Source organism: Homo sapiens, chromosome 19, assembly GCF_000001405.40.
Source record: "Homo sapiens chromosome 19, GRCh38.p14 Primary Assembly".
Taxonomy (NCBI): Eukaryota; Metazoa; Chordata; class Mammalia; order Primates; family Hominidae; genus Homo; species Homo sapiens.
In genome coordinates this window covers 9,522,174-9,545,852 of record NC_000019.10, presented here as the reverse complement: position 1 = coordinate 9,545,852, position 23,679 = coordinate 9,522,174, and the positions used below count along the sequence as shown (strand labels likewise).

The window sequence follows — 23,679 nt, the reverse complement described above, 5'->3', positions numbered from 1 at the left end:
AGGTTGGGGCCCAGCAAGAAGGTATGTCCATATAAAAGTTCAAATGGACTGTACCCTGTAGCATCCCGAGGACAGGCTCAAATTTTGAGGAGGGCAGGTGGTAAAAATACTGTCCAGTCCTTTTTAAGTTGAAGGCTGAGTTTGGTGAGGTGTGTTTTTAAAAGACCATTATTCCTTTCTACCTTTCCAGAAGACTGAGGGCGGTAGGGGGCATGAAGTTTCCATTGAATGCCCAAGGCCTGAGAGACTGCTTGAGTGACTTGACTAATGAAGGCCAGTCTGTTGTCAGACTGTATAGAGGTAGTAAGTCTAAATCGAGAAATTATGTCTGACAGAAGGGAGGAGATGACCACGTTGGCCTTCTCAGGCCTGAGAGAAAGGCCTCTACCCATCCAGTGAAAGTGGCTACCAGACCAAGAATATTTTAGTTTCCTGACTCAGGGCATGTGGATAAAGTCAATTTGCCAGTCCTGGGCATGGGTGAACCCCTGAGCTTGATGTGTAGGAAAGGGAGGGGGCCTGAGAAATCCCTGAGGAGTGGTAGAATAGCAAATGGAACACTGAGAAGTGATTTCCTTGAGGATAGATTTCCATGATGGAAAGGAAATGAGAGGGTCTAAGAGGTGGGCTAGTGGCTTGTAACCCACATGGAAGAGGTCACGAAAGGAAGATAGAATGAAATGAGGCTGTGAGGGTGGAAGGAGGAATTTTCCTTGATCCAAGAACCATTTGTCTTGTTTGGGAAGAGATTGATAGGTGGAAGTTTCAGTGGGAGAGTAGGTGGGAGTGACTGATGAGAAGGAGAAAAACTGGCCATGAGGGACAGAAGTTGGAAGGCTAGCTGCTTCTTTAACTCCCTTATCAGCATAATTGTTGCCTTGAGCAATGGGATCTGATGTCCTTTGATGGCCCTTGCAGTGAATGAAACAAGCTTCCTTGGAAGTACAGCAGCTTTAAGAAGAGTTTTTATTGAGGAGGCATTAATGATGGAAGACCCTTGTGTAGTAAGGAAACCTCTTTCTGCCCATATAACAGGATGGTGGTGAAGGATGTGGAAGGCATACTTGGAATCAGTATAGATATTGACACGTATTCCCTTTGCAAGAGTGAAGGCTCGAGTTAAGGCAATGAGTTCAGCTTGTTGAGAGGCAGTGGAAGGGGGAAGGGCCATAGCCTCAATGATAGATGTGGAAGACACTATAGCATAGCCTGCCTTTGCCAGTGATTGGTGATTGGGCCTGGAAGAACTACCATCAATAAACCAAGTGTGGTCTGGGTGGGGAACAGGAAACAGGGAAATATGGGGAAATGGGGAGAATGTCATATGGATTAGAGAGATACAATCATGGGGTTCAGATGTAGTATCAGGAATAAGATGAGAGGCCGGATTGAAGTCTGGGCCAGGAACAATGGTAATTGTGGGAAATTCAACGAATGGTGAGTACAGTTGAAGGAGCCAGGGGGCAGAAAGTATATGTGTCAAGTGTGAGGAACAAAATAGATATTGAAAGTTATGGGAACTGTAGAGAGTAAATGGAGCATAGCTTGTGGTTTTGAGGGCCTCTAAAAGTATTAAAGTGGTGGCAGCCACCACATGGAGACATGAGGGCAAGCCTAAAACAGTAAGGTCAAGTTGTTTGGACAGAAAGGCTACAGGGCGTGGTCCCAGCTCTTGTGTAAGAATTCCAACCACACAGTTCTGTACATTGGCTGTGTGTAATGAAAAGGGTTGGGATGAGTTAGGGAGAGCTAGTGTGGGAGCAGCTTCCAGGGCTGTTTTTAAGGAATGGAAAGAGGAGTGGGGAAAGGATTTAGGATCTATGGGGCCAGCTAGGTTTCCTTGTGAGTTTATATAATGGTTTAGTCAGGATGGCAAAACCAGGTATCCAAAGGTGAAAGTACCCAAGCATGCCTAGGAAGGAAAGGAGTTGTTGTTTTGTAGAAGGCATTGGGGTTTGGGAGATTAGCCAGACATGATCAGCAGGGAAAGCACGTGTGTTTTTATGAAGAATTATGCCGAGATAGGTAACGGATGAAGAAGAAATTTGGGATTTTGAGGGGGATACGCGATATCCCTTTGAGAATAGATGTTGGAGGAGCCGGAGGGTGTCCTGTTGGGAAGATTTGTAGGAGGGGCTATAAAGTAGGAGGTCATCAAAATATTGAATAAGGTGAGAAGCAGATGGATGGAAAGAAAGTAAATCATGAGAAAGTGCTTGACTGAAGTAACGGGGGCTGTCCCTGAAGCCTTGCAGCAGTACAGCCCAGGTAAGTTGCTGAGACTGACGGGTGTCAGGGTCAGTCCAAGTTAAAGTGAAGAGAGGCTGGGATTAAGGGTGTAAAGGAATAGTAAAGAAAGCATCTTTGAGATCCAGAACAGAATAATGGGTTGAGGAGGGAGGTATTGAGGATAGGAGAGTATATGGGTTTGGCACCATGGGGTGGATAGGCAAGACAATTTGGTTGATAAGGCAAAGATCCTGGACCAGCCTGTAAGACTTGTCCAGTTTTTGGACAGGTAGGATAGGAGAGTTGTAAGGAGAGTTTGTAGGCTTTAAAAGGTCATGCTGTAACAGGGAAGTGATAACAGGCTTTAGTCCCCTCAAATCCTGTTGTGGGATGGGATATTGGCATTGAGCAGGGTAAGGGTGATTAGGTTTTACCCCCAAGGGATGATAAGGGGTGCATGATCAGTTGCTAAGGAGGGAGTAGAGGTATCCCATACTTGTGGATTAAGGTAGTGAGACACAAGGGGAGGAGGCAAAGGAGGCTTTGAACTGGGGAAAAGGGTGGCAATGAGGTGTGGCTATAGCCCAGGAATAGTGAGGGAAGCAGAGAATTTAGTTAAAATGTCTTGACCTAATAAGGGAGCTGGGCAGGTGGGGATAACTAAAAAGAGTGCATAAAAGAAAGTTGTTCAAGTTGGCACCAGAGTTGGGGATTTTTAAGAGGTTTAGAAGCCTGGCCATCAATACCCACGGCAGTTATGAAGGCAAGGGAAACAGGCCCTTGAAAAGAAGGTAATGTGGAGTGGGTAGCCTCTGTATTGATTAAGAAGGGGACAGACTTGCCCTCCACTGTAAGAGTTACCCAAAGCATCTGTGATAGTCCAGGAGGCTCCCGAGGTGATCGGGCAGTGTCAGTCTTCAGCTGCTAAGCCGAGAAGATCTGGGAAGGAGTCAGTCAGACAGCCTTGGGCCAGAGTTCCAGTGGCTCTGGTAGTGGCTGCCAGGTGAGTTGGACAGTCCGATTTCAAGTGGGGTCCCACAGATGGGACATGGCTTAGGAGGAATCCTGGGCTGCGGGCATTCCTTGGCCCAGTGGCCAGATTTCCAGCACTTAAAGCAAGAACCTGAGGGAGGAGGTCCTGGAGGAACACCTGGCCTCTGTGGTTTAGGCATTTTGAAGTTCTTATGTGCTGGAGATGTGGCTGGGGTTTATCTCACAGCAGAGGCAAGTAATTGCAACTCAGAAATACAACGCCACTTGGCTGCCTCTTCTCTATTATTGTACACCTTCAAGGTGAGGTTAATTAAGTCCTGTTGTGGGGGTTGAGGGTCAGAATCTAATTTTTGGAGCTTTTTCTAGTCTTGGGAGCAGATTGGGTAATAAAATGCATATTGAGAATAAAATGCATATTGAGAATAAGATGGCCTTCTGGCCTCTCTGGTTCTAGGGTGGTAAACTGTCTAAGGGTTGTTGCCAAACAGGCCATGAACTGGGCCGGGTTTTTATACTTGATGAAAAAGAGCCTAAATGCTAACTGACTTGGGAGAGGTTGGATGAAGAAAAAGGAGCATTAACCTCGACTATGCCTTCAGCTCCAGCCACTTCTCTAAGAGGATATTGTTGGGCAGGTGGGGGAGGGCTAGTCATGGAATGAAACTGTAAGCTGGACCGGGTGTGAGAAGGGGAGGTGATAGAAAGATCACAGGGTAGGGAGCAGAGGCTGAGGAAGAATTAGTGAGAGGTGACAGCGTGCTGGCAGTCCTCACAGCCCTCGCTCACTCTTGGCGCCTCCTCTGCCTGAGCTTCCACTTTGGCGGCACTTGAGGAGCCCTTCAGCCCACTGCTGCACTGTGGGAGCCCCTTTCTGGGCTGGCCAAGGCTGGAGCCAGCTCCCTCAGCTTGCAGGGAGGTGTGGAGGGAGAGGCGCGAGCGGGAACTGGGGCTGTGCATGGTGCTTGCGGGCCAGCTGGAGTTCCAGGTGGGCGTGGGCTTGGCGGCTGCACTCGAAGCAGCTGGCCGGCCCTGCTGGCCCCAGGCAATGAGGGGCTTAGCACCCAGGCCAGCAGCTGCACAGGGTGTACTGGGTCCCCTAGCAGTGCCAGCCCACTGGTGCTGCGCTTGATTTCTCGCCAGGCCTTAGCTGCCTTCCCACAGGGCAGGGCTCAAGACTGGCAGCCCGCCATGCCTGAGCCTCCCACCCCCTCCATGGGCTCCTGTGCAGCTCGAGCCTCCCTGATGAGAGCTCCCCCCTGCTCCATGGTGCCCAGTCCCATCAACCACCCAAGGGCTGAGGAGTGCGGGCACATGGCGCGGGACTGGCAGGCAGCTCCACCTGCAGCCCCAGTGCGGGATCCACTGGGTGAAGCCAGCTGGGCTCCTGAGTCTGGTGGGGATGTGGAGAACCTTTATGTCTAGCTCAGGGATTGTGGAAACACCAATTGGCACTCTGTATCTAGCTCAAGGTTTGTAAACACACCAATCAGCACCCTGTCAAAACAGACCACTCGGCTCTACCAATCAGCAGGATGTGGGTAGGGCCAGATAAGAGAATAAAAGCAGGCTACTGAGCCAGCAGTGGCAACCCCCTTGGGTCCCCTTCCACGCTGTGGAAGCTTTGTTCTTTTGCTCTTTGCAATAAATCTTGCTACTGCTTACTCTTTGGGTCCATGCTGCCTTTAAGAGCTGTAACACTCACCGCAAAGGTCTGTAGCTTCACTCCTGAGCCAGCGAGACCACAAACCCACCAGAAGGAAGAAACTCTGAACACATCCGAACATCAGAAGGAACAAACTCCAGACACGCCGCCTTTAAGAACTGTAACACTCACCGCGAGGGTCCACGGCTTCATTCTTGAAGTCAGTGAGACCAAGAACCCACCAATTCTGGATACGTTAGGACCTGGCTCAGCTTGGCGAGGAGCAGCCTGAGGGGGAGGGGAGAGGTCAGATGGGTCCATAGAAAAGGAGGATTCAAAGGACAAGAAAGAAACAAGAAAGATTTGGGATGAGTCACATTGGGAGCAAAGACTAGGGACGGACCAATGTGTAAAGAATGCCTGGATGTCAGGCATCTCAGACCATTTGCCCATTTTATGACAAAAATTATCTAGATCTTGTAGGATGGAGAAATCAAAAGTGCCATTTTCTGGCCATTTAGAACCATTGTCAAGTTTGTACTGGGGCCAAGTGGTGTTGCAGAAGAAAATAAGGTATTTAGGTTTTAGGTCAGGTGTGAGTTGAATAGGTTTTAAGTTCTTGAGAACACAGGCTAAGGGAGAAGAACAGGGAATGGAGGGCAGAAGATTGCCCATAGTGAAGGAGGTAAGTTTAAAGAGAAAGGTAGAGACATGGAGAAGGCAGTGGAGTGGGGTGGGGGTGAGCAGCCCTGGGCTGTAATGTGGGTAAGCAGCCAAAGCAGGCAGCCCTGCAATTGACTTGCCACCAAGGGAATGTGGGTGAATGATCAAGGCAGGCATCCCCACAGTGATCAGACACCAATGGAATGTAGGTGAATAATCAGGCAGGTATCCCTACAGTGATTAGCCACCAAGGAAAGACTGTCTTCCTGAGTCCGTGACTGGAGCTGGAGTTTTGGGTCCACAGATAAAATGTGTCTCCTTTGTCTCTACTGGAGAGGAAAAAGAACTGGAATTGGAAGGACAGAGAGATGGAAGGGTAGTGAGAGAGGCTGGAGAAGAGAGTGAAGAGACTGCTTACCCAATTTGAAATTGGTGAGATGTTCCTTGGGCTAGTCTGAGGACCCGAGGTAGTAGGTGGAGCTCCTCACGGAGTGAGGGTGAGGACGGGGCCAGTCTCCCAAGGGAGTCCCCCTGTCCCAGGTTTCGGAACCAAATGTTACACACATCCATGTGAAGAGACCACCAATAGGCTTTGTGTTAGCAACAAGGCTGTTTATTCACTTGGGTGCAAGTGGGCTGAGTCCGAGAAAGGGGTCAGCAAAGGGAGATAGGGGTGGGGCAGTTTTATAGGATTTGGGTAGGTAGTGGAAAGTTAAAGGTGGTTATCTTTTGCTGGCAGGGCCGGGGGTCACAAGGTGCTCGGTGGGGAACTCCTGAGACTCGTCCAGAAGAAGAATGTCACAAGGTCAAGAGATCAGTTGGGGTGGGGCAGCAACAAATCACAATGGTGGAACGTCATCAGTTAAGGCAGGAACTGGCTGTTTCACTTCTTTTGTGGTTCTTCAGTTGCTCCAGGCCATCTGGATGTATACGTGCAGGTGACAGGGTTTATGATGATTTAACTTGGGCTCAGAGGCCTGACAAGTAGTTCAAGACCAGCCTGGCCAGCATGGCAAAACCCTGCCTCTACTAAAAATACAAAAATTAGCAGGGTGTGGCAGCATGCACCTGTAATTCCAGCTACTTGGGAGGATGAGGCAGGAGAATCGCTTGAACCTGGGAGGTGGAGGTTGCAGTGAGCTGAGATGGCTCCACTGAACTCCAGCCTTGGTGACAGAGTGAGATTTTGTCTCAAAAAAAAAGAAAAGATGTTTTAAAGCAAGGCAGAAAACCTAGAAATTATTTTTAAAAACAATTCTTTTAGCTGCATAGAAAATGTTTTTTACATCAAATGTTGAAATAGTAACAGAGCAAAAGACGTAGTTACCTATTTTCTACATGCATAACACATTGGCTCCTTCCCCTATGGCCGCCCTGCTGCGGCCTCGCCCACAGGCCTGGCTATAACTTCAACCTTTTCCTCTGGGCCTGGACCCACATTCCTCCCCGCCCCCTGCCCGTAGCCCTGCCCACAGGCTTGGCTCTAACCTCGACCTTGCCTTCTGGACCCATTTCTGCCTGCAGCCCCCACGCTGAGCCCACCCCAAGGTCCTCCGCAGCCAAGCAGATGGAAAGTAGAATTTTTCTGCCTCGAGGAGGTATTACACGGCAGAAACCCTAGTCCCGAAACCCCGCCTGGCCCGAGGCGGAGAGCGTAAATGACGTCAGCGGTGCGCCGTTCCTTTTGTGACGCCGGCTGTGAGCGCCTGAGAGTCTTTTTGCCTTTCAGAGTTAAGGCCTCACTGGCCTGGGTGAGTTCCGAGGAGATGAACTGGTTTTGGGGTGAAGGACGGGTTTGGCCCGGACGTTAGAGAGGCCTGGCCCGCTCTGCTCGTGTCTGCTGGGCCCGCTAGCGTCCGCTCGGACCGTCGCTCCTCGGGAGGAGTCGGGTTTATAGTTACGGTGTCCGCAGGGTGTTTTCATCTGTGCGCCCCTCTCCAAAGGCCTCCAAAGCAGCGTTTGTGAATTTTTTTCCGGCAGGAAAATAATTGCTGCCTTTTGCATCCGCGTTGGCTCCGTCCCCAGGATCTTCCCGGTTCAGGGACCTGGCGATTTCTGAGTGTTCCGGTGAGCACTGGGTGAAAGTTGGTTCTAGGGGGCCTTTTCTGTCTTCTCTTATGCAAACGAATGTTTCATCTGTAAGTTTGGTTTCGTCTTATTGTGTTGTGTTTTATTTTTGACCATTACTTTCATGGCGAAAGATAAAGATGCTTTTTAGGTTTATAGGGTGTGCGTATTTGTGTATGTGAATATAAACGTTTGTAGACCGCAAGTCTTTCTGCTAAAGAATACTAAGAATAATAATTCATTATCTTCGAATGGAGTTCCTAGGCCTGTACATCCCAAGAGAGCTTCTTAATCAGACCTCCAGAGGGAAAGGATGAAGGCTTTATTATTCTAGTATCACAATAATCAAATTTACAATGAACAGGATGGTTGGATTAAGGAGTTTGAAACCAGCCTGGCTAAGATGGTGAAACCCCGTCTCTACTAAAAATAGAAAAAAAATTAGCCGAGCGTGGTGGTGGGGTCTTGGAATCTCAGCTATTTGGGAGACTAAGGCAGGAGAATCACTTGAACCCAGGAGGCGGACGTTGCAGTGAGCTGAGATCGTGCCACTGCACTCCAGCCTGGGAGACAGAGTGAGCCTCCGTCTCAAAAGAAAAAAAAGAGAAACGAAGGATGTGTGCATTTTAAGCTACATTGATTGTATATCAATGAAAAAAAAAAAAAGCTGGCTGGGTACAGTGGCTCACACCTGTGATCCCAGCACTTTGAGAGGCTGAGGCAGGAAGATCTCTTGAGCCCAGGAGTTTAAGACCAGCCTGGGCAACATAGCAAGACTCCATCTCTCCAAAAAAAAAAAAAAAAAAAGAGTTAAATATTCTATACAGATGCCACCAAACTGAATATTTGTGGGCCTAGTCAGCCCTAGGACCCCTAGTTTGAGACCCCTGGGAGTAGGTGTGATCTATACCAGGAGTCCAGAACTGTGGTTTTTGTGACTTTAGGGTTTTAGTCTTATTGGTAGAAGGAGGCCTATAGAGTTTTTGTGAATTTGGTTCATGGATAATGAACTGCGGAACTTTCACTGTTTATCATCATTTGACTCCCATTCTGTAGGTGATTGTTTGAGCCACTGTTTCATGTTTGATTAATTAATGATTGTCATTATTATTATTATTATTTTTTTTTTGAGACAGAGTCTTGCTCTGTCACCTAGGCTGGAGTGCAGTGGTGTGATCTCAGCTCCCTGCAACTTCCATTTCCCAGGATCAAGCGATTCTCCTGCCTCAGCCTCCTGAGTAGCTGGGATTACAGCCGCACACCACGCCCGGCTAATTTTTGTATTTTTAGTAGAGATGGAGTTTCACCGTGTTGGTTAGGCCGGTCTTGAACTCCTGACCTCATGATCTTCTGGCCTCAGGCTCCCAAAGTGCTGGGATTACAGGCGTGAGCCACCCTGCCCAGCCAAATAAAACCAAACTTTGGTGGAAAAAAATTAACCAGATAAATACTATGAAAAGGTAGTTCTCTTTGAAGACCCATAAAACAGACCAGTGTTAGGCACAGAGTGGTTTGGCCTTGCCTCTCTGACAGTGTGAGCTGGGGATGCAGATTTGATTTGAGTGTTTCCAATCAAGGCCCAGTTGAGGCTACCCAATACTTAAAAGTGTATTGTGAGATTATTTTTTCTATGTGTGTGTGCAAAACTTGTACTTGCATTCAGGTTCTGGTTTACCACTTCATTTTTTTTTGTTTGTTTACTTATTTTTATTTTTGTTTCTTTAGAGATAGGGTCTTGCTATGTTGCCCAGGCTGGTCTCAAACTTCTAGGCTGAAGCAGTCCTCCCACCCTGGCCTCCCAAAATGCTGGGATTACAGGCATGAGCTACTGCCCCAGCCGGTGTATATGTTTGATGGCTGATGATTAAGTACTGCTTGTTGATTATTGATTAATACCAACAGGAATCCCAATAACCCTGTTTAAAGAGGAATGGAGATTGCCACTGTCCATTTAGATTAATGAGGTGTCCTGAAGTGATGGTGACATCAATGAAAGGAGGGTTCTGACACGTTCTCACCTCGCGGGATGGCAGCTGCTGATTTGTCCCATGGTAAGCTCTGTTGCTCTTTTTAGGATATCCTGTTCTAGGTTCCCTTTACACAATATAGGGTCTAGTGGTTTGGGCAGCTGGTCATGTTGCTGATTCATTTGGGAGGTGCTGAGGGGTGCCAGAACGTGCTGTCTTGTGAGTCAGGCTCTGCCTGTGAATTTTGGAAAGAGGTACTGCATAATCTCCTTCATGAATTCTAATCAGCATGATAGAGTCCCATGCTCTGGGTATATGTTTCCTTATGTGTGAAATGAGACTATTGTACTTTTCCTGATGGGCAGCACAGCTCATCATCACGTTTAGGACTGCTCTGGCATTGTATGGTAGTAGGTTGTATGTTTGCATTTTCTTTCTTTTCTTTTTTTTTTTTTTCTTATACAAAGTCTCGCTCTTTTGTCCAGGCTGGAGTGCAGTGGTGCATTCATAGCTCACTGCAGCCTCAAACTGTTGGGCTCAAGCAATCCTCCCACCTCTGCCTCCCAAGTACCTGGGACTGCAGGCACATGCCACCATGCCTGGCTGATTAAAAAAATTTTTTTGTAGAGATGGGGAGTTTATGTTCACTGTGTTGTCCAGGGTAGTCTCGAACTCCTAGGCTTAAGCAATCTTCTTGCCTCAGCTTCCCCAAGGAGATGGGACTACAGGTGTGTGTTACCACACCAGGCTCATTTTAAAATTTTTTTGTAGAGACGGGGTCTCACCGTGTTGCCCAGGCTGATCTCAAACTTCTCGCCTAAAGTAATCCTTCCACCTCAACCTCCCAGAGCACTAGGATTACAGATGTGAGCCACTGCAACTGGCCTTATGTGTGTTTTCCTGATTTTGCAGGAATATATGGGAATTTCATACTAGGAGGTAATGACCTCTAGGTAGGTGGATGTGGGGATTATGGTCAGCTCGGGGTTCTCTTGCCTTCATTTTCTTACAGGACATTATCTTTCTGGGGACCCAGTTTGCCTTCATGAAGAAAAGACACCAGCAGGAAGAATAGTGGCTGACTGCCTAACAGATTGTTATCAGGTAAAAAGCAGCTGTATTCTTATACATAGTGACATACTTGCATCCACCAGGTAGACACATTTCCCTCTAGGCAGAGTTGTCTCCAGACTTCTTTTTTTTTTTTTTTTTTTGAGAGGGAGTCTCGCTGTGTTGCCAGGCTGGAGTGCAGTGCTATGCTCTCGGCTCACTGCAAGCTCCGGTCTCCAGGCTTCTTAAAGCAAATAAAGTGTCACTCAAGGACTGAATCCCCATTTGAATTTCCCCAAGGGTTGGGGCCACCCATATAGGGAGGTGCTAACTTGGAAATCATCCCAGGCCGGGCATGGTGGCTTACACCCATAATCCCAGCACTTTAGGAGGCTGAGGCAGGCAGATTGCTTGAGTACAGGAGTTCAAGATCAGCCTGAGCAACATAGTGAGACCCCGTCTCTACAAAAAATTTAAAAATTAGCTGGGCAAAGTGGTACATGACTGGACTCCCAGCTACTTTGGAGGCTGAAGTGGGAGGATCACTTCAGCCCTGGAGGTTGAGGCTGCAGTGAGCTGTGATTGCACCACTGCACTCTAGCCTGGGCAACACAGCAAGACTCCGTCTCAAAAAAATTAAAAAAAAAAGTGTCCTTTAAGTTGTTTATCAGCATTGATCAGATGTCTGGAATGTGCTGAGCAATGCGCTCAAATAGATGGAAATAAGATGAGATCTTGGGCGGGCACAGTGGCTCATGCCTGTAATCCCAGCACTTTGGGAGGCTGAAGGGGGCGGATCATGAGGTCAGGAGTTCGAGACCAACCTAGCCAGTATGCTGAAACCCTATCTCTACTAAAAATACAAAAAATTAGCCGGGCATGGTGGCGTGTGCCTGTAATTTCAGCTACTCAGGAGGCTGAAGCAGGAGAGTTGCTTGAACCTGGGAGGTGGAGGTTGCAGTGAGCCAAGATTGCACCAGTGCACTCCAGCCTGGGCAACAGAGTAAGAGTCCATTTCAAAAAAAAAAGAGATCTCCTAGTCTGGTTGTGCTGAGATAAATTCATATTCAAGAAGTGCCATTAATGCACTATGAGTGGAGGAGATGACAGTGAGTATGTTTAGGGTGCGAGGAGTTTCTAGGACCCTTAAAACCTGGGGCTGGTCACTGCAGCCCTTGGAATCCTGCATAGGCATTGGGTCCCCCTTCCTCATCCTCCAGCGAACGCTGATGGGCTTGTTACTTGGCTCCAACCAGCATGTGTGTGATGCTTTAGGATTCAGTGACCTTTGACGATGTGGCTGTGGACTTCACCCAGGAGGAGTGGACTTTACTGGACTCAACTCAGAGAAGCCTCTACAGTGACGTGATGCTGGAGAACTACAAGAACCTGGCCACAGTAGGTAAGACTGGCCTCATCCCTTGCAGCCTTCTATGGAACTGATATGTTTTGTACTTACTGTTTTGCAGCATTGGCAATGTCAACTCTGAATGCAAAGAGAAATAACAGAGACATAGTCCCTGTCCTAAATAGATTTTAATCTACTGTGACCATTCTGAAAATGTGGTCCAAGATTAATAGCAACACCATCTGCCTGTTAGAAATGTACATTTTCCTTCTCCACCCAGAAACCTGGAGTTGAAGCCCAATAATCTGTGTTTGAACAAGTTCTCTGGATGACTCTGATGCACAATAATGTTTTAAAAAACACTGGGGTAGTTGTTTCCCCAGAAGAATGAAGATCTCTGTTATACTTCCTTATTCCTTATTTGTTGTTGTTCTTGTTTTGAGACAGTTTCACTCTGTCACGCAGGCTGGAGTGCACTGGCATGATCTCAGCTCACTGCAATCTCTGCCTCCTGGGTTCAAGCGATTCTTGGGCCTCAGCCTCCCGAATAGCTGGGATTACTGGCATGCGCCACCACACCCAGCTATTTTTTTTTTTTTTTTGTATTTTTAGAAGAGATGGGGTTTCACCATGTTGGCCAGGCTGGTCTCGAACTCCTGACCTCAAGTGATCCACCTGCCTCAGCCTCCCAAAGTGCTGGGATTACAGGCATGAGCCACCACACTCGGCCATTATTTTGTGTTTGAATAAAAGTCTCAGTGCTTTTTAAATGTGTACATAAGCCTGAATTTCGGTTTAGGGGACAGAAGTAACCAGACTGTTTGGGGCACAGTCAGAGTTGTTATTTGCATTTTTCGCCCTTTTGAAATAGCTTCACCACTTTCATTAGATCTGTAGTTCCTGAATCACAGAAAGGTTTGTAATCTTTTTTATGAGCCTCTTCCATTAATGTATTTCTCTGTGCTCAGGAGGTCAGATCATCAAACCCAGTCTAATCTCTTGGTTGGAACAAGAAGAGTCAAGGACAGTTCAGGGAGGAGTTCTCCAAGGTGAGTGTTCATGAAGAACAACTCTGGTTGATGAGAAGTTCAGTATGTTTGAAAGCATAATTAGGAAACTTTTTAACATGTACTTTCTCCCTGCACTCTAAACCCCAAGGTTTAGAGAAAGTTAGGAAATATTTAACTTCCCACACGCTTTTATTTACAGAGCAGTCCCCCCTTGTCTGTGATTTCACTTTTCACGGTTTCAGTTATCTGCATTCAACCATGGTCCAAAAATATTAAATGGGAAACTCGGCCAGGCATGGTGGCCCACACCTGTAATCCCCACACATTGGGAGGCCTAGGTGGGTGAATCATTGAGCCCAGGAGTTCAAGACCAGCCTGGGCAACATACCGAGAACCTTGTTTCTACAAAAAATACAAAAATTAGCCGAGGGTGGTGGGACGCACCTGCTGTCCCAGTAACTCAGGAGACTGAGCTGTGAGGATGGATTGAGACTAGGAGGTCAAGGCTGTGGTGAGATGTGATTGCACCACTGTACTCCAGCCTGGGTGATAGAGTGAGACCCTGGCCACTGACCCCCACCCCACAAAAAAAAAAAAAAAAAAAAGAAAAAAAGAAAAATTTCCAGAAATAAACAAAACATAAGTTTTAAATTTCTCACCATTCTCAGTAGTATGATGAACCCTTATGTCATCCTGCCTGGGGTGTGAATCATCCTTTTGTCCAATGTATCTACACTGTGTACACCACCTGTGAGTCACGTAGCGGTCATCTCAGTTACCAGATCGAAGAATCATAGTATGTACAGGGTTCAGAACTAGCCATGATTCAGGCATCCACCTGGGGTCTTAGAACATTTCTTTAAGTTAATTGTGGCTTTTGTTTGTTTGTTTTGTTTTTTGAGATGGAGTCTTGCTCTGTCGCCCAGGCTGGAGTGCAATGGTGCAATCTCAGCTCACTGCAAGCTCCACCTCCCGGGTTTATGCCGTTCTCCTGCCTCAGCCTCCCAAGTAGCTGGGACTACAGGTGCCTGCCACCATGCCTGGCTAATTTTTTTATATCTTTAGTAGAGACGGGGTTTCACCGTGTTAGCCAGGATAATCTCAATATCCTGACCTCGTGATCTGCCTGCCTCGGCCTCCCAAAGTGCTGGGATTAAAGGCATGAGCCACCGTGCCCGGCCAAGTTAATTGTTTAGATATACGCTCTTTTTTCAGAAATTTCCTACTTTCATTCCCTGATTCTCTCTATTCACTATCAGTTTTAATTTTCATAGCATCAATTTGTAATAAACGATCGAAAAGTTTTACCCCATGTCCTTGTCTTGGCCAATTTTTCCCCCTTTGGATCATTTACATCAAAACCAAATTTTTGATATAGCCCAAATCCCCAAATGTCTTTCTGCTTTTTCTTGCCATGTTTAATTTGAAACAAATAGAAATAAGCCATATTGTTTTGAACTCTTTGCATTTCTTTCTCCAAATCCTTTCATTTGTTCTTGTTGTGGTTCACTCTGTTTGTTGCCAAGGCTGGAGTGCAGTGGTGTGATCTGAGCTCCTTACAACCTCTGCCTCCTGGATTCAAGAGATTCTCCAGCCTGAGCCCCGTGAGTAGCTGGGATTGCAGGTGCTCACCACCACACCCAGCTAGCTTTTGAATTTTTAGTAGAGGTGGGGTTTTGCCATGTTGGCCAGGCTGGTCTCAAACTCCTGACCTCAAGTGATCCACCTGCCTTAGCCTCCCAAAGTGCTGGGATTACAGGCATGAGCCACTGTGCCTAGCTTGAGTCCTTTTATTTGTTTGTCTGTTTTATTTCAGGATGGGAAATGCGACTTGAAACCCAGTGGTCTATACTTCAGCAGGACTTTTTGAGGGGTCAGACATCCATTGGGATACAATTGGTAAGATTTGCATAGGATATTTTTTATTTTCCACCCTCAGAGAAAATCAGGAATTCTGTTATGGGAAGTCAGCAAAAATAAGAGATATTTGAGAGAAGTTGCATACACATGAGAGGGAGCAAAGAATTTAGGGATGCTCCAATTGTGAAACTTGTTTCTTTGGAGCTTTCACACATTCCCACAAGTGTAACTAGACGTTGAGTTTTGTTTTGGTGTTTTTTTGAAACGAGATACTGCTCTGTCACCCAGGCTGGAGTGCAGTGGTGCAATCATGGCTCAGTATAGTCTTGACCTCCTGGGCTCAGGCGATCCTCCCACCTCAGCCTCCCTTGGTAGCTGGGACTACAGGCATGCACCACCACACCCAGCTAATTCTTCAAAATTTTGTGGAGACAGGGTCTTACTGTGTTTCCCAGGCTAGTCTCAAACTCCTGTGCTCAAGTGATCCTCTGCCTCAGTTTACAAAAGTGCTGGGAGTACAGGCATGAGCCACCACATCTGGCTTAGACTATGAATTTTTTTTTTTTGGTCGAGACAAGGTCTTGCTGTGTCACCCAGGCTGGATTGCAGTGGCACAAACATGGCTCACTGAAGCCTTGACCCCTTGGCTCAAGTGATCCTCCCACCTCAGCCTCCTATGTGGTTGGGACTACAGGAACACACCACCATGCCCAGCTAATTTTTTGATATTTTTTATAGAGATGGAGTTTTGCCATGTTGCCCAGGCTGGTCTCTAATTCCTGGGTTCAAATGATCCACCCACCTTTGCCTCCCAAAATGCTGGGATTACAAATGTGAGCTACTGCACCCATCTAGACATTGAATTCTACAGAAATCTGTTATTATTATTATTATTATTATTTTGAGACGGAGTCTCGCTTTGTTGCCCAGGCTAGAGTGCAGTGGTGTGATCTTGGGTCACTGCAACCTCCGCCTCCCAGGTTCAAGCGATTCTTGTGTCTCAGCCTCCCAAGTAGCTGGGATTACAGGCATGTGCCACCAAGCCCAGCTAATTTTTGTATTTTTAGTAGAGACAGGGTTTCACCATGTTGGCCATGCTGGTCTTGAACTCCTGACCTCAGGTGATCTGCCCCCCATCGGACTCCCAAAGTGCTGGGATTACAGGCATGAGACACCATGCCTAGCCAAGATTAAAGTAGATGGCACAACATTCTAGAATAAGAGTTAAGTCATACCACTTAAAATAAATCTACAGGGAAGGACCTGAATGCATGTAATAAAAATGGCATCAATTATAATCACCATTATAATGTTTCTAGCTTCAGATGGGTATGTTCTGTTAATATGTTTGAGAAAAATCCTTAAATCATCATCATCCCTTCAACAGGAAGGAAAACACAATGGAAGGGAACTCTGTGACTGTGAGCAATGTGGAGAAGTCTTCAGTGAACACTCATGCCTTAAGACGCACGTGAGAACTCAAAGTACAGGGAACACTCATGACTGTAATCAGTATGGAAAAGATTTCCTTACCCTGTGTGAGAAAACCTCTACTGGTGAGAAACTTTCTGAGTTTAATCAGAGTGAAAAAATCTTCAGCCTGACACCAAATATTGTATACCAGAGAACTAGCACACAAGAAAAGTCATTTGAATGTAGTCACTGTGGAAAATCCTTCATTAATGAGTCATACCTTCAGGCACATATGAGAACTCACAATGGAGAAAAACTCTACGAATGGAGGAATTATGGGCCAGGTTTTATTGACTCTACAAGCCTTTCTGTGCTTATAGAAACCCTCAATGCAAAAAAGCCCTACAAATGTAAGGAATGTGGAAAAGGCTATAGATACCCAGCCTACCTCAGTATTCACATGCGAACCCACACTGGGGAGAAACCATATGAATGTAAGGAATGTGGGAAAGCCTTCAATTATTCCAACTCATTTCAGATACATGGAAGAACTCACACTGGAGAGAAACCCTATGTATGTAAGGAATGTGGGAAAGCCTTCACTCAGTACTCGGGCCTTAGTATGCATGTACGATCTCACAGTGGAGACAAGCCCTATGAATGTAAGGAATGTGGGAAATCCTTCCTTACATCCTCACGCCTTATTCAACATATAAGAACTCACACTGGAGAGAAGCCTTTTGTATGTGTTGAATGTGGGAAAGCCTTTGCAGTTTCCTCAAATCTTAGTGGACATTTGAGAACTCACACTGAAGAGAAGGCCTGTGAGTGTAAGATATGTGGGAAAGTATTTGGGTATCCCTCATGTCTTAATAATCACATGCGAACGCACAGTGCCCAGAAACCATACACCTGTAAGGAATGTGGGAAGGCTTTTAACTATTCCACCCACCTTAAAATTCACATGCGAATCCACACTGGAGAAAAACCCTATGAGTGTAAACAATGTGGAAAGGCCTTCAGTCATTCCAGTTCATTTCAAATACATGAAAGGACTCACACTGGAGAGAAACCCTATGAATGCAAGGAGTGTGGGAAAGCCTTCACGTGTTCCAGTTCCTTTAGAATTCATGAAAAAACTCACACAGAAGAGAAACCCTATAAATGTCAGCAATGCGGGAAAGCTTACAGTCATCCCCGTTCACTTCGAAGACATGAACAAATTCACTAGTGAGAAACTGTCCATGTAATAAATGTGGGAAAGCTCTCATTTGTTCCAGTTCACTTTAAAGACATGAATGAACTCACTCTGGAGAGAAGAAGCTGCATGAAAATTACTTAATTCCTGTAATCCCAGCATTTTGAGAGGCTGAGGTGGGTGGATCACTTGAGGTCAGGAGTTTGAGACCACCCTGGCCAACATGGTGAAACCTTGTCTCTACTGAAAATACAAAAAATTTAGCCAGGTGTGGTGGGCACCTGTAATCCCAGCTACTTGGGAGGCTGAGGCAAGTGAATCACTTGAACCCAGGAAGCAGAGGTTGCAGTGAGCAGAGATCATGCCACTGCACTCCAGCCTGGGCGATGGAGTGAGACTCCATCTCAAAAAAAAAAAAAAAAGAAAATTATTTGATTAAATTGAGTCTGTTAGAGTACATCCCTAATCCAATATGATTGGTGTCCCTATAAGAAGAGAAAGACACAACTGAGACAACAAATAGAAGATGATGTGAAGTCATCAGATGATGGCCATCTGCAAGCCAAAGACAGAGCACTGGGACAGATCCTTCTATCAAAGCCACCAACCCTGCTGGCACCTTCATCTTGGGCTTCCAGAACTTTGAACAAATAAAATTCTCTTGTTTGAGCCACCCAGTCTGTGGTATTTTGTTGTGGTGGCTCTAGCAAGTGAATACAGTAAGCAATAAGCAAAAACGTTTATAGATTGTCCAAAAGCCTTAATATTCACATGCAAAGCCACACTGGAGAGAAACTATATGAATGTAAGACGTGGGAGAGCCTTCATTGAGTCTTCAGTCCTTTCTACATACAGGAGAAATCACATAGGAGAGAAATTGTATGAATGTAAGGAGCATGAAAAAGCCTGTGAATGTTCACTATATTTTAATATTCACATGCAAGTTGTCTGGTCGTAGACCATGTGAAAATAGAGGAGAAAAAAGGAAAGAAAGTTTCTTTTACTGTGAACGCAAGGAATGTGACCCCATACACCATACTGGAACTTGGAGTGGACTGAAATCCCATTAGGATTGTGGAAAAGCTTACATTAATGTTTTCTACCTTCTAGAAGGTGTAAGAAGTCGAACTGGAGAGAAGCCTTTTACCTGTAATGCATGTAGGAAGCCTTACATTAATTCCACAGAATTTTTTTTACACATGTAAAATTACCTCAGAACCCTGGGAAGGTAAGGAATATGGTATAACCTTTAAATATTTCACATGCCATAATAAGTACATGAATTCTGATAATACTGTACCGTTTCTTGAGTAGTGTTAGTACCTTATACTATCAAAATAATCCTAAATCCTCCCTCTCAGACCTTCCATCATTACTATATTTCACTTTTATGCCTATAAACACACACAAATTAGCATATGTAATCTAATACATTGTAGCTATTTTTCAGAAGTTATCAGATCAATTAAGTATTAGAAAAATAAACATTTTTATTTTACCTTCACTTCTTCCTTCTATGCTCAAAGTTGGATGTAATTCTTATACTTGATCCTCAATACTTAAAGCATTTCCCCCCCTCTGGCTTCTATGAAAATTTTTTGTTATCTTTGATATTCTGTTATTTTTAAATGATATGCCTAGGTATAGGTTTTTGGTGCTCGTCCTTCTTGGTGTTTGCTTAGCCTCCTGGATTTGCGTTTTGGTGTCTGAGTTAATTTTGAGAAATTCTGTCATTGTTTCCCTTTTTTTTTCTTTCCATCTGGTATTTCCTTTATATGTAGGATACATCTTTTGTAGTTATCCCACAGTTCTTATATCTTGTTTTTTTATTCTTCTCTTTGCTTTTCAGGTGTGGATGTTTCTGCTGATATATTCTCAAGCTCTTTAGTTGGCTGTTTCTTGGCCAATAATAAGCCTACCAAAGACATTCTTCATTTCTGTTACACTGTCTTCAATTTCTAGCATTTCTTTGTGGTTCTTAGAATTTCCATCTCTGTGTTTACACTGCCTGTCTGTTCTTGGATGCTGTCTGCTTTATCCAGTAGAACCCATGGCATATCAATCATAATTGTTTTAAATTCCCAGTCTGATAATTTCAGCAATCCTGCTATATCTGGTTCTGGTTCTTACTCTTTCTCTTTAAACTAACTTTTGCCTTTTAGTATGCTTGTAATTTTTCCTTAGCTGGACATGGCATACTGGATAAGAGGAAATGCTGTAAGCAGGCCTCTAGTAATCATGATAAGCTGTGGGGAGAGGGGCAGCATTCTATTGTCCAGGGATTAGATGTCAGTCTTGCAGTGAGTCTGTGCTTCTGCACTGTGAACTTCAGTTTTTCCCACCCTTTAGTTGGGTCAGGATGTATAGAGTTGGCTGGAGTTGGATATTTCCCTTCCTCCAGGTCACTGAAGCTCTGACTAAAACTCCAGGTGTGGTGGCTTATGCCTGTAATACCAGCACTTTGGGAGGCCAAGGCAGGTGGATCACCTGAGGTTGGGAGTTCATGACCAGCCTGAATTGCTTGAATCCAGGAGGTGGAGGTCACAGTGAGCCGAGATTGTGATACTGCACTCCAGCCTGGGAAACAGTGAGACACTGTCTCAAAAAAATAAATAAATAAATAAAAGGCTAGGCGCAGTGGCTCAACCCTGTAATCCCAGCACTTTGGGAGGCAGAGGTGGGTGGATCATGAGGTCAGGAGATCGAGACCATCCTGGCCAACATGGTGAAACCCCGTCTCTACTAAAAATACAAAAAAATTAGCTGGGTGTGGTGGCGGGCACCTGTAGTCCCAGCTACTTGGGAGGCTGAGGCAGGAGAATGGTGTGAACCCAGGAGGTGGAGCTTGCAGTGAGCCGAGATCACGCCACTGCACTCCAGCCTGGGTGACAGAGTGAGACTCTGTCTCAAAACAACAACAACAACAACAACAACAAAAACCCATCATCAATGCTCAGCCTTTCTTAAACATGAACTCATGGTGGACAGAGCCCTATGAATGTAAGGAATATAGAGAAGCCATCACTAGTTACTCAAACCTTATTGAATGTGTGAAAATTTACTCTGGAGAGATGCCCTTTCAGCATAAGAAATGTTGAAAAGGATTTATATAATCCTTCCTTTTTATTTTTATTTTTATTTTTATTTTTATTTTTATTTTTTTTGAGACGGAGTCTCGCTCTGTCGCCCAGGCTGGAGTGCAGTGGTGCGATCTCGGCTCACTGCAAGCTCCGCCTCCCGGGTTCACGCCATTCTCCTGCCTCAGCCTCCCGAGTAGCTGGGACTACAGGCGCCCGCTACCACGCCCGGCTAATTTTTTGTATTTTTAGTAGAGACGGGGTTTCACTGTGTTAGCCAGGATGGTCTCGATCTCCTGACCTCGTGATCCGCCCGCCTCGGCCTCCCAAAGTGCTGGGATTACAGGCGTGAGCCACCGCGCCCAGCCAATCCTTCCTTTTTAATATCCACATACAAACTCACTGAAGAAAAACCCTGAAAATGTAAAGCAATGTTGAAAAACCTAGTTATTTAAATTCATTTCAAGTATATGAACTCACATGGTAAAGAAACCCTGTGAATATAAGTAGTATGATAAATTCTTGAATTTTTTTTTTTTTTTTTTTTTTTTTTTGAGGCAGAGTTTTGCTCTTGTTGCCCAGGCTGGAGTGCAATGGCTCAATCTTGGCTCACTACAACCTCTATCACCCAGGTTCAAGTGATTATTCTGCCTCAGCCTCCCAAGTAGCTGGGATTACAGGCATGTACCACCATGCCCAGCTAATTTTGTATTTTTAGTGAAGGCAGGGATTCTCCATGTTGATCAGGCTGGTCTCGAACTCCTGACCTCCAGTGATCTGCCTGGTTTGACCTCCCAAAGTGCTGAGATTACAGGCATGAGCCATCACGCCCAGCCAGTTCTTCAATTCTTACAGTCCCTTTCCATGTCATTAAAGAACTCACACTGGAGAGAAATCTTATCAATGTTAGAATTGTGGTAAAGCTCTCTGTTGTTCCCATTTACATGAAAGATGTGAACAGTCACATTGTAGAAAAATGCTGTGAGAGTTGGGAATCTGGAACCACTTCTTTATTATCTCAGGTCATAATGAACTTGTAAGAATTCACAGTGGCAGGAAACCCTATGTAAATGGAAAATATGGGAAAGGCTTCATTTAATCCATAGGACTGATACCACAAAACTCCCACTAGGAGAAAACCTATGTTTATACGGAATGTGGGAAAATCTTCACTTATTTCTCAAGCCTTAAAGTGTATGTCAGGATTCCCAGTGGAGAGAAGCCATATTGATGTAAGGAATGTGGGAAAGCCCTTGCCTGCCACTTAGTCCTTGATAAACATTTTAGAACACAAACTGGAGAGAAACTATGAATTCAAGGATTGTGGGAAAACCCTTTTATGTTCCACAAGCTTTAATATTCATATGCAATGTATGCTGGAGAATAACTTGATGACTATAATAAGTGGAATGGCCTAGGTCAGGGATCCCCAAACCCCTGGGCCATGGACTGGTACTGGTCTGTGGCCTGCTAGGATCCAGGGTGCACAGCAGGAGGTGAATGTAGGATGAGCAAACATTACTGCCTGAGCTCAACTTTCTGTCAGATCAGCAGTGGCATTAGATTCTCATAGGAGCATGAACTTTATTGTGAACTGCACATGCAAGGGATCTAGGTTGCACACTCCTTATGAGAATCTAATGCCTGATGATCTGAACTGGAACAGTTTAATCCCCAACTCCAGTCCGTGGGAAAAATGTCTTCCACGAAACTGGTCCCTGGTGCCAAAAAGTTAGGGGACCACTGATTTAGATTATGTCACATGTCCCATCCACTCATTAACATTAAGGCTTTCATCCCTGGGACCTCAAGATAATGGTGGTATTTAGAGATGTGGTTTTTTAAAGAGGTGATTTTAAAATGAGGCAGTTAGAATGGGGCCCTCATTCAATATGACTGGTTTCCTTATAAGAAGTGAAAGAGATACCAGGGTAGCAGGCACAGAATTTTATGTGAAGTGACCGGAAATGGTTACCTTCAAGGCAAAGAGAGATTCCTGGAGGAGATCCTTCTTTTAAGGCTCATTATAGAGGAAATCATCCTTATCTACACTTTGATCCTGGACTTCCAGCCTCAAAAATTATGAGCAAATAAATTTCTGTTGTTTAAGCCATTCAATGTGTGGGGTTCCTTTTTTTGGTCAACTCTATCAAAATAATACAGTAAAGAATGTGAGAAAACCTTTAGATATTCCATAGTCTTTAATATTCATGTTCAGAGTTACAATGGAAAGAAACCTTATGAATGTAAGGAATGAAATGTTTTCTGTCTGTGTAGTGTGTGTGTGTGTGTGTGTGTGTGTGTGTGTGTGTGTGTGAGACACAGTCTCCCTCTGTTGCCCAGGCTTGAGTACAATGGCATGATCTTGGCTCACTGCAACCTCTGCCTCCTGGGTTCAAGCATTTCTCCTCTCTCAGCCTCTGGAGTAGCTAGGATTACAGGCACGTACCACCATGCTCAGCTAATTTTTGTATTTTTAGTAGAGCTGGGGTTTCATCATGTTGGTCAGGGTGGTCTCGAACTCATGGTCTGAAGTGATCTGCCCACCTTGGCTTCCCAAAGTGCTGGGATTACAGGCATGAGCCACCACACCTGGCCTCTTTTCAATCTTTGGTCTGCTAAATGTAAGAAATCACACAGGAGACCATTTCAGTGAATCTAAGGCATGTGAAAAACCATTTTATTATCCCTTAGAGCATCCGAACTCATCTGGTGAAAGAACTTATAAAACTCACATGAGAAAAAAGAATACAAAGAAGAGGTTTCTTGTAGTATGAAATCAAAGAACGTGATCTTGCACAAAATGGAAGAGCTTAGAGTGGATTGAAGCCCCATCATAAGGAATGTGGGCCGGGCATAGTGGCTCACACCTGTAATCCCAGCACTCTGGAAGGCTGAAGCGGGCAGATCACTTGAGCCCAGGAGTTCGAGACCAGCCTGGGCAACATGGTGAAACCTCATCTCTACAAAAGTACAAAAATTAGCTGGTCATGGTAGTGTGCGTCTGTAGTCCCAGCTACTGAGGAGGCTGAGGTGGGAAGATCACTTGAGCCCAAGAGGTGGAGGTTGCAGTGAGCCGAGATTGTGCCAGTGCACTCCAGCCTGGGTAACAGAATGAGACCCTGTCTCAAGAAAAAGTTGACTGAAAAATAAGAGAAACAA

At 45.4% G+C, this 23,679-nt stretch overlaps 1 protein-coding gene and 1 long non-coding RNA gene across 6 annotated transcripts, besides 4 other annotated features; one reads left to right on the top strand and one right to left on the bottom strand.

Moving 5' to 3' along the window:
* Positions 4,987-6,186: an enhancer, noted in NCBI's record as "CDK7 strongly-dependent group 2 enhancer chr19:9650343-9651542 (GRCh37/hg19 assembly coordinates)". NCBI's record gives its function as "activates an origin of replication core promoter dependent on BRD2, BRD4, P300/CBP, MED14 and CDK7 cofactors, with strong dependence on CDK7, by STARR-seq in HCT116 cells {active_cell/tissue: HCT116}" and the evidence as "EXISTENCE:reporter gene assay evidence [ECO:0000049][PMID:35650434]".
* Positions 6,123-7,187, bottom strand: ZNF426-DT (ZNF426 divergent transcript). Of its 2 annotated transcripts, none has more exons than NR_134920.1 (2): positions 6,855-7,187; positions 6,123-6,717 (listed from the first exon to the last, which is right to left on the bottom strand). It is a non-coding gene; the product is annotated as a ZNF426 divergent transcript (long non-coding RNA). The 2 variants fall into 2 exon arrangements; NR_134921.1 differs by having other exon boundaries at positions 6,123-6,447.
* Positions 6,841-6,910: an enhancer, noted in NCBI's record as "active region_13931". NCBI's record gives its function as "activates an Ori minimal core promoter by ATAC-STARR-seq in GM12878 lymphoblastoid cells {active_cell/tissue: GM12878}" and the evidence as "EXISTENCE:reporter gene assay evidence [ECO:0000049][PMID:35858748]".
* Positions 7,111-7,160: an enhancer, noted in NCBI's record as "active region_13930". NCBI's record gives its function as "activates an Ori minimal core promoter by ATAC-STARR-seq in GM12878 lymphoblastoid cells {active_cell/tissue: GM12878}" and the evidence as "EXISTENCE:reporter gene assay evidence [ECO:0000049][PMID:35858748]".
* Positions 7,167-7,902: an enhancer, noted in NCBI's record as "NANOG-H3K27ac-H3K4me1 hESC enhancer chr19:9648627-9649362 (GRCh37/hg19 assembly coordinates)". NCBI's record gives its function as "activates a minimal SCP1, AML or CMV promoter by ChIP-STARR-seq in naive H9 embryonic stem cells {active_cell/tissue: H9 hESC(naive)}" and the evidence as "EXISTENCE:reporter gene assay evidence [ECO:0000049][PMID:30033119]".
* Positions 7,208-22,630, top strand: ZNF426 (zinc finger protein 426). 4 transcript variants are annotated; one of them, NM_024106.3, is made up of 8 exons: positions 7,208-7,278; positions 7,508-7,594; positions 9,497-9,645; positions 10,574-10,665; positions 11,887-12,013; positions 12,928-13,008; positions 14,786-14,868; positions 16,217-22,630. In NM_024106.3, exons 3-8 carry the CDS (start codon positions 9,621-9,623, stop codon positions 17,471-17,473), a joined length of 1,665 nt encoding a protein of 554 aa, NP_077011.1. In that variant the 5' UTR covers positions 7,208-7,278; positions 7,508-7,594; positions 9,497-9,620; the 3' UTR covers positions 17,474-22,630. The 4 variants fall into 4 exon arrangements, with proteins under 4 accessions (NP_077011.1, NP_001304984.1, NP_001304985.1 ...); NM_001318055.2 differs by lacking the exon at positions 11,887-12,013; NM_001318056.2 differs by lacking the exon at positions 14,786-14,868.
* The last annotated feature ends 1,049 nt before the right edge of the window (positions 22,631-23,679 follow it).

Bases quoted from the DNA above. Each gene is read 5' to 3' on its own strand.
- ZNF426 (NM_024106.3), top strand. From the start codon at position 9,621: ATGGCAGCTGCTGATTTGTCCCATG. The intron at 12,014-12,927 runs GTAAGACTGGCC...CTCTGTGCTCAG, and splicing joins CAAGAACCTGGCCACAGTAG to GAGGTCAGATCATCAAACCC. The intron at 14,869-16,216 runs GTAAGATTTGCA...TCCCTTCAACAG, and splicing joins CATCCATTGGGATACAATTG to GAAGGAAAACACAATGGAAG.